Source organism: Homo sapiens, chromosome 2 (assembly GCF_000001405.40).
Source record: "Homo sapiens chromosome 2, GRCh38.p14 Primary Assembly".
Lineage (NCBI taxonomy): Eukaryota > Metazoa > Chordata > Mammalia > Primates > Hominidae > Homo > Homo sapiens.
In genome coordinates, this window is record NC_000002.12 from 42,849,085 (window position 1) to 42,858,404 (window position 9,320).

The 9,320-nt window shown below is 53.8% G+C and overlaps 2 annotated features.

The window, feature by feature from the left end:
* Positions 5,001–5,833: an enhancer, noted in NCBI's record as "H3K4me1 hESC enhancer chr2:43081225-43082057 (GRCh37/hg19 assembly coordinates)". NCBI's record gives its function as "activates a minimal SCP1, AML or CMV promoter by ChIP-STARR-seq in primed H9 embryonic stem cells {active_cell/tissue: H9 hESC(primed)}" and the evidence as "EXISTENCE:reporter gene assay evidence [ECO:0000049][PMID:30033119]".
* Positions 8,151–8,738: an enhancer, noted in NCBI's record as "H3K4me1 hESC enhancer chr2:43084375-43084962 (GRCh37/hg19 assembly coordinates)". NCBI's record gives its function as "activates a minimal SCP1, AML or CMV promoter by ChIP-STARR-seq in naive H9 embryonic stem cells {active_cell/tissue: H9 hESC(naive)}" and the evidence as "EXISTENCE:reporter gene assay evidence [ECO:0000049][PMID:30033119]".

Genomic DNA, 9,320 nt, shown 5'->3' on the forward strand with positions numbered 1-9,320 from the left:
ACACAGACCCCAGTGTTTTCACTGGGCGTGTCCTATCAAGGCCCTTGTGAGCTTGGCCTCTGGGATGTAGGGGCAGGGAAGGGAGGCAGTGGGCAGCCCAGCCTGGATGCCTTCTCTCAGGCGGGTGATGGGATTGAATGTGTGGATGAAGGAGAGGGAGTGTCAAGGGTGGCTTCAGGGGTTCTGGTATGAACCAGTGGAGGGCTGGGGTGCCTCTCCCAGTGAGAGGGAATACTGGAAAGTCATTGGGTTTGGTGGGGGATGATCTTGAAGTCCCCAGTTTTGCATCATTTTCCCAGGTTGGGTGGAGGGGGAAGCGCAGCCTTTGGCCTGAGACTCGGCATTGCGACTGTGGCTTCAGCTTCTCTCCAATGTCTAGCTTCCAGGTGGAGGGGGGTGCAGGGCCTGCTCCCCTAGCTGTGCCCCAGAAGGTGTTCTAAGGCTCAGTCTGGCTCTGCAAGGCCAGCCTGGCAGTGATCACCAGGCCCAGGTCACGTAGGTCCCAGGGTCACTGGGGCTCCCAGTGGCATGGAAGGACAGTTCCAGCTCTGCCCCTGATTAACATGCGACAAAACAAAAATCAAAAAACAACCAACCAAACAAGACAAAGCCAAAATAATTAAAAACAAAATAAATAAAAAGCAGGCACAGCAAAACATGTAGTGATCTAATGAACACCCATGAAACCACAAATTAGTTTCAGAAACAAAACCAACAAATCCAGGTGGAACCCCTGGGTGCAGCTCCCTAATACACCTCCCTTCCACTGTGCACCCTGCACTCCAAAGAAGGAACCACTATCCTATATTTGGGATTTCTTATGAATTTCTTTAATTTTTTTAACCACATATGCAAGTTTTCTTGAAGTATTTACAGGGCTGTTTTCTATGCTTTGAAACTGTATAAATAGTGGCGTTCTAGTATGTATTCTTCTGCAATTAGCTTTTTTTTTCTTTCGACATGTTGGTGAGATCCATGTGTGTTGACGTGTGTAAGTCTGGCTCACTTATTTTCAACGTTGCGTAGAATTCCACCGCATGAACATAACCTTTCTCCAAGGAGAGCTCCTCGTGGCCCACCAGAGAGTGGCTCAGGTCACTGGGCGCATTCCCTTCTGCGGAGACAGCTCCAGTTGTGTGGATGAGCCCCGGTCCTCCTCCCTCATCCCCTTTGGGATGCCAGGGCCCTTCCCACCCTCCCAGGACCGTTGCTTCACTGAGGAGGAATTCAGGTGGATTTCAGGCAACCTTGTGTTTCCCATAAATCAAAATTGAAAGTGAATCCTTAGCACAAGGGACTGCAATTGCACCCAGCTGAGTGAGGACAGGCAGGCTAATTTGAACCTGGCCTGGGTGGAAGGCTTTGTGAGCTGGGAATGGACACAGGTCTCTGAGGAAGAGGCACTGCTCAGCCCATCTCTAGCACAAAGCGGGGACACTCTGCCCAGCTCCAGCCCCTGGCCCAGCCCCTGCACTGATCCGGGCTCAAGGGGTCCCCCTTACTCTCTGCTCTGAGCCCGTTGCTCATCCAGTGGCCTCCAGGATGAGTTTGCCACATGGATGTAAGGTGGTTGTTGTAGCAGCTTTGAGAAGGGAAGAGTGAGGTTCTGGGAGTTGCTGGGGGCAATCTTGAGGGGCTTCGGTTTTAGAAGCCTGAGAAGGAGAGAGGCAGTGAGCTCCCATACCAGGGCAGCCCAGCCCTTGATACCCATAACACCCATAGCTCCCAGGGCACACTGTGACTTTCCTGGCCCCAAGCGCTTCTGCCCCTGTCCCCCTATCCATGAAAAACATGAAAAATTATACTTCATGACTGTGTTGGCATAAAGGTGAGTATAAGCCAGGCTGGATTCTTTATTATATATTCCTTATTATTGTAATATTCTTTTTTTCTTCTGATTTTAAAAGAAATGAAAATATTGTCATGGGCCCCTGAAAGACTCATGGACTTGGGTGCTGTACCTGCTAGGCCAGTGGAGAAGTCAGCCCTGACAGTGCCTGCCGAGCCCCTAACACCCTCCCTTTATGGAAACTCTGACCCCTCTCTGCTCTGAGATGTCTTCCCTGTTTGAATGGAGGGGAGGGAGGACATGGCTTCCCTTAGCCCCAGCCTCTCCAGGGCTCTCTTACCTGTTGGGGGGGCTTGGATGGTTCATGCAGAGGGCTTGGTGTGCATGGCCTGCCTGGCGGAGGCAGAGGGCAGCTGGCATTTCTCCACACGGCCCATCTGCAAGCTGAATAGCTCCTTCATGGGGCTTTGTCTGGTGTTGGGTGGGGGGTGCAGCATTGCCCAGGAGGGATCTGGGTCAGGGGTGTTGGGGGACTGTGGCCTGGGGGTGCTGAACCCTGCCCTAGTGCTCACCGGAATTGAAGAGGTGACATTTGTGTGTACAGGGCAGGAACCATTGGTCTGCATTTTCAAGGCCATCTGACAGTCCCCATTGCACGGAGTTTTGTTTTGTTTCTGTTTTTGGGGTTTTTTTTTAGATGGAGTCTCACTCTGTCACCCAGGCTGGAGTGCACTGGTGTGATCTCGGCTCACTGCAACTTCCACCTCCCAAGTTCAAGCGATTCTCCTTCCTCAGCCTCCTGAGTAGCTAGGACTATAGGCACATGCCACCACACCCGGCTAATTTTTTTTGTATTTTTAGTAGAGACAGAGTTTCACCATGTTGGCCAGGCTGGTCTCAAACTCCTGACCTCAGGTTGTCCACCTGCCTCACCCTCCCCAAGTGCTGGGATTACAGGAATGAGCCACCCTGCCCAGCTGACACTGAGTTTTATTTTGAGGGAGGCAAGGCCTGTCCTGGCTATGGGGGCATTAGACCAGGACAGTAGCTGGCTGGGGAAGGGCTGTGTTAGCCAGCTTGGTCTGCCAGAGCGAGTACTGCAGACTGAAAGGCTTGTGCAACACACATTTATTTTCTCACAGTCCTGGAGTCTGGACTTCCAAGATCAAGGTGCCAGCGGGGTCTGTCTTCTCAGAGGCATCTCTCCTTGGCTTGCGGATAGCCACCCTCTCACTGCCTCTTCACAGCTTGTGCAGGCATGTCCCTGTTGTCTCTCTGTGTGTCCTGAGCTGCTCTCCTTACAAGGACACCAAGCAGACTGGATTAGTGTCCACCCTAACAAGCCCCCCCTCACTTTTTTTTTTTGAGACAGGGTCTCATTCTGTTGCCCAGGCTGGAGTGCAGTGGCACAAGCATGGCTCACTGCAGCTTTGAACTCCTGGGTTAGAGCGATCCATTCATGTTAGTTTCCCGAGTAGCTGGGACCACAGGTGTGTGTCACCACAGCCGGCTACTTATTTATTTTTGTAGAGACAGGGGTCTTGCTAGGTTGCCCAGGCTGGTCTTGAACTCCTGGGCTCAAGTGATCCTCCTACTTTGGCCTCCCAGAGTGCTGGGATTACAGGTGTGAGTCACCGCGCCCAGCCCCTAACAGCCCCATTTTAACTTAATACCTTTTTAATGGCCCTATTTCCAAATACAGTTTCATTCTGATGTGCTGGGATTAGGACTTCAATAATATGGCTCTTAGGGGACACGGTTCAGCCCAGAGCAGGGGCGACGGAGGCCTCATGAAAGGCTGCCGCAGAGAGCACAAGGGCACGGCGAGGGGGCGCTGCTTGGATCATGGACGCTTTATTATTTGGAAATCTTCATTTTTTTATATAATTTCATTGCCTCCAAAGGTGGGCAGTTTCTGTATCTCTTATGTCATATTTTCTGCAGGTGGCAGTGAAGTACTTATTCTAACACTGTCAGTATATTCTAACTTTCCGACCAATGGAAATCAAGTACCTTGGAAAGGCAACCTCTTTTTCTGCGCCATGTTATTGGACTGGCAGTGGCCAGGCCACATGACTGTCCAGGGCTTAGGCTGGCGTGGAGTAGGCCATGTGATACATTTGGCCACGCTCACTGAATCTGAGCAGGATCATGTGACTTAGTTTCATGGACCAAGTCTTAGGAAGGTGACTGCAACAACCTCGTAGACTGGGCTGGAGCATGGGACTATGGCTTCTGTTGTTTCTTCAAACATTGCTAGAATCTACTCTCAAAGGCTGCCCAGTCTCTGGAGGAAATATGGGAGTGGTCTTAAACCATCTCTGTTCCCACCACCCAGGAACTGGGGACTCTGTGGACCTCTAGAGATGGCGTGACTGCCTGAGACTGTCCCATGAGGCCCCATCTATGTCTGCTGGAGAGCGCTATCTCGTTGCTTTCCTCATTGCTCTGTGCGCGGGACCACCTGGGTCCCTGATATCCTCAAACTCATGGGCCAGCTAGTGCGAGGGAGGTTAGGATAAGTGGAGGCAGAGTGAGAGGGATCCACAGAGCAAGGAGAGGTTTAGGGCGTACCACTGGAGCCAAGCACTGAGCACATTTTTGGGGGATACATTTTGAAGCCCTTCCACATTGCCTTCCACCCAGCAGACATGGCAACTATGGCCTATTCCAGAAGCCGAGGGGTGTGTGGCAGCTCAGCCTGACCTTGCACCCTCCCTCCCACTCCACTTGGCCGTTTCTCTCACTACGTGCAGCCGTGGGCTGGGGGCAGTGTGATGGGAAATCTTTTTTTTTTTGTCTTTGCTAAAAAGTACTCTGTCTCTTGGGCCGAGGTTGTTTGAAGGTGAACTGTGAAAAATGACCTGCCGTGCTTCAAATCACAGCTCTGCCCTCTTCCCGAACTGCTCTGGGGAAAGGAGGGGTGGGCTTTTTGCCAGAGACTCAGCCCTGTCATTGTGGCCAGGCCACCCAGCCCACCTCAGGGTCAGTCAAGGGCAGCAGTGGGGTATGTGTGTGCATGCGTGTGTTTGCAAGTGTGTGCTTGTGTATGTATGTGTGTGCTTTGCATGTGTGTCTGCGTGTGTCTGTATTTACACTTGTGTGCATGTCTTTGTGTGTTTACATGTGTATGTTGTGTGTATACACACATTTATGTGTGGGGGTACACGCTTACATTTGTGCATGTGTGTTTACATGTGTCTGCGTGTGTGTGTGTTGTGCCTGTGCACATGTGTGTGAGTATGGGAGATGGATGGTAGAATGAACACCAGGCATGAGGGGGCCCAGGGCAGAGTCTCAGGCCTTGACCCGGGTTTCCAAATGGCCACAGATGTGACCCTTCACCCTTCCCTGCGGCTGTTGAGGTCATTGCCCAGAGAACTTTCCTTTGGAACCAAGTGGGCCTTGCTGCCTGGAGAGGGAGAAAGCAAACCGGATGATCCTCATCCTGGGGAGCCTGGAGCCAGCGGGCCCTTGTTTAATTCTGAAGGAATGTGCGAGGTTCCCGCCCAGCGGAGCAGGCCCCAGCCTGACTGGGAGCCTCAGCACTCCTGGGGCAGCAGCTGCGTCTGCACCGGGTCGGCGTGGGGGTGGGAGCTGGGCCAGCTGGGGACCTACAGCATCCAGGGAGAGACAATCACACAAACTGGGTGGCTGGAGTAGGCTAGGGGCGAGGGAGGCCCATAACACCTTCCTCCAGGAGCCGGGGCCTGTGTGTCCAGCTCTGTGCTCAGGGGAGGACAAGCAGGGAAGAGGAGACGGTCCTGGCAGTGGAGAGCAAAGTCCCCGGCAGGAGATGAGGTGCCATGGGAGGCAAAGCACAGAGTACAGAGAGGAGGCAGCGAGGAGCGTTCCCTGGGGGCTGTGTCATCAGGGAAGGCTTCTTGGAAGAGGTGGAGGTTTAGCTGGGCCCTACAGGGTGGGGAGGATCTGAAGGAAAAGAGGACATTCCGGGAGAAGGAAGAGGACAGGAGGTTCTGCTAAAGATGCAGAGCTGGAAAAGAGCAACGCCTCTATGGAATGACAGTGTGGACCCGGGTCCAGAGGAGGGGAAAAGAGGCGGCTAAGGCAGGAAAGTCAGCTCCGGTTCATCCTGAGGGGTTTGAGTGCCAGCCAGAGGTCCTCCTTACACAATGGGGGTGGTGGGGTGGGGGGCAGGGGAGCTCTTGAAGGTTCTTGAAAGGGGAGTTACCTGATGAAGTAGGCGTTTTAGGATGAGAGGCTGGCCACATAATCTGGTGGGATCATGGCAGCTGGGACGGAGGTCATGAGAGTGGAAGAGGCTGGAGGAGGGGTGTTTGGCGCGGGGGAGAAGGTTTGAGTGGGGAAATGGCTGAGGCCTGGGGAGTAAAGCAGGCAGAACTGAATCCATTTCACATTTGGGACATTCTTGAGGCCTCCTTTCTGTGTTTGGGTTCCCCTGACCTAAGAGCACCGTGTCAGCCTAAGACAGCTCCCTGCCCACAGGCCAACTGGCCCAGATGGACCTGGGGGACAGAAGCCAGGCCCTATGCTAGCCTGGGTCCCAGCCCCCATTCACACCCTACCCAGAGTGGCCCTGGCCTCTCCAGTGGGCTTCGGGGTATCTTATTCCCTGACACAAAAAGTGGCATCTCTCCCTGGTGTGGGGATTATCCTGGTGGGCAGAGGCAGAAACCCCTTGAATAGGAACTTAGCCAGTCCAGGTGAGCGTGTGAATGCCTGTGTGGCCCAGCTGGGTGTGAACACAAGTGTGAGTTCTGTCCAGTTCTTGCAAGAGAGTGGGGGACCCTGTCCAGCCTGGGTGTGTGACAGTGTGGTGTGTGTGCGCACACAGCCTGGCCTGAGTGAAGAAATGTGAATGTGGACACAGCTCGGGGCCCTCCAGATTGGTGGCCCGGCCCACGGAAACTGTCCTCACAAAGGCCCGCATCCACTGGGGAGGGCTGCCTGGCCTTCCTCAGTGGGTAGACACTGGTTAGGCCTGTGGCAAAGCCCTCTGGCCTGGCCACACACAGGCCTTGTGTGAGTGGTCTCGTGGCAAAGGAGTGAAGGAAAGGGGTGGATTATTCTAGCCCGTGAATGTGGGGCCGGGACACTCTCTGCCCACTGAACAAATGCAGTAGGAACTGGTGCTCCGAGGCAAAGACATATCGGAAAAGTGTGTAAGCGATCGGAGTGCGGCCAATTCTCCCAGAATCTCAAAGGGCAGGTGGCCTACATCTCTACCATGTCAGTTTCAGGGCTCCGAGGACTTTGATTTGCTGCTAACTTTGTGACATCTTTAAACATTTTTTTGTCAGTAGCTTCTTCTCTAGAGTGTCGATGGGAGTGAGCAGGGGAGCCACAGGGTGAGGGGTGAGGGGAGGGGGACGCTGGCCTGGGGCCTGGACGGGCATGTGCCTCTTGGAAGAAGCCATGGCCACTTCCTTGGGACCAGGGTCTGCACACACATACAGAGTTGTGGGGCCCGTGGACGGTGGGTATGGCGGAGCATGGAGAACCCCTGACCTCTGCACTCACCTCCCACCTCCTGGGCGGTCACGCCCTGCTCAATCATCCGTCCTAGGAAGCGGATAGAGTCTCTGGAGAGAGTCCAGGGGATTGGAGCCACACAGTGGGGAGCACACCAGCTAAATGAAGGTGACTTGTGCTGACCCTTCAAAGGCTGAAAGCCAGGAGAGCCACTGCCTTGGATAGAGAATCTTGGGGCCTGGCTCCCATTTCCTCTGTTTGGGGTCTATGGCTACCTTCATTCAAGTCATCGCCCCCTCCCTTTACCCTTCAGGCTCCACCCTCTCCCTGCATCTGAGGTGTCCTTCCTCGCTCAAGCCTGGGTTGGAGGGATCACCCCCTTTCTCCCTCCACCCTGTAACCACCCTGCTTGTTGAGACGTGGCTCCATCTCTGGGCCACACGCTTCCCATTCTCTTTAGTCTAATGTTTCCCTGGTTATACAGCTTATTCATGCTAATTGTAGGAAGCACGGGAAATTCGGAAAACATAAAATGAGGAGCAAAGTTAGGCCTAGACCCGGCACTTAGAGATACACACTTGCCCGTCTGGAACATTCGACAGTTGCGGGGTGCCCCTGACTTGTAACAGCACTTCCTACCCTCAGCACGTTGGTATTCTCACTCAGCTCTACGAAGTGGCAGCTGCCGCCACTCATTTTTCCTTTTCACAGCTGGGGAAGCTGAAGCAGAGAGCTGCGGCCACTTGTCCCGAGGCGCATCGTCTCAGGCTCCCCAGCACACCGTCCACTGTTGCCTTGCACCCTACCCCATGCCATGGCCTGCTGCCTGCGCTGGGGCCGGCAAGCCTCCCTGCATGGTGGGCACCCTTCCTAGTCCCCTGCCTGCACCTGGTCTGACTTGTGGGCTGGCTCTGAGCTTCACCCATCTCCCTGGGGCCACTGCAGCCAGGATGGGGAAGGGCGGCACATTTCAACGGCGTGCCTCCTGGAAACCACATCAAATGGTGCAGCTAGGAATTAATAAATAAACTTGGGAGACAAGTCAATTACCCTCTCCCTGTGCCCCTGTCCCCCAGGGGCAAACAGTGGCATGTGGTTCCCGGCCTCAGCATGCCTTCCCGGGGGCAGGCCTAGTGCTGCAGCTGGCTTCTGTCAGATTAGCTGGGCGAGATGCAGCAGGCCTCTGTCCTCTGGGGAAATGGATCCCTTCCTGGGAGGTGGGGACGGCATTCCCGGGTTACTCTGTTACTGCCCTCTTCCTGCACCCGTCCGTGTCTCACTGTGTTCATGGTGCCCAAATCACTGCCCTCCCTAGTCCCCGACACAAACGCTTCTGGTCAGCCGTCATAACGTCTGCAGCTCCGTCCTCAGAGCTGGAAGCTGACATTACTGAGACTCCAGTAAAGGTCCACACTGCTTAGTGTCGTCAACTCATCAGAACTAGCATTATCATTTAAAAATCAGAGGGACTACTTGATGCTTTTGAAAACATTTATTTATGGCTGGGCGTGGTGGCTCACACCTGCAATCCCAGCAGTTTGGGAGGCGGAGGCAGGAAGATGGCTTGAGCCCACACGTTCGAGACCAGCCTGGACAACACAGAGAGCCCCATCTCTATAAAATAAAACAAAAGTAATAAAGAAAAATAAAAAAGAAATAGCCGAGTGTGGTGATGCATGCTAATCCCAGCTAATCAGGAGGCTGAGGTGGGAGGATCGCTTGAGCCCAGGAGTTCAGGGCTGCAGTGAGCCATGATCGTGCCACTGCACTCCAGCCTGAGAGACCGAGCAAGACCCTGTCTCAAAAAAGAAGAAAAGAAAAGAAAGGAAAAGAAAACATTTATTCACTCAGCAAATTCTTAACAATGCCTGCTTTGTGGCAGAGTTTTTTCTAGGTGGCAGAGATACAGAGACAAGAGACGCAGCCCTGCCCCATAAGGAGCTTACAGTTGTGTGGAGAAGTCAGACAATACAGCTACCATATGGGGCACTTCGGGGGGAAGGAGGGGGACCCAGCACAGTCTAGAGGGCTCCCCAAGGGGCTTCCTGAGTAGCTGATGCCTGAGCTGCATTATGAG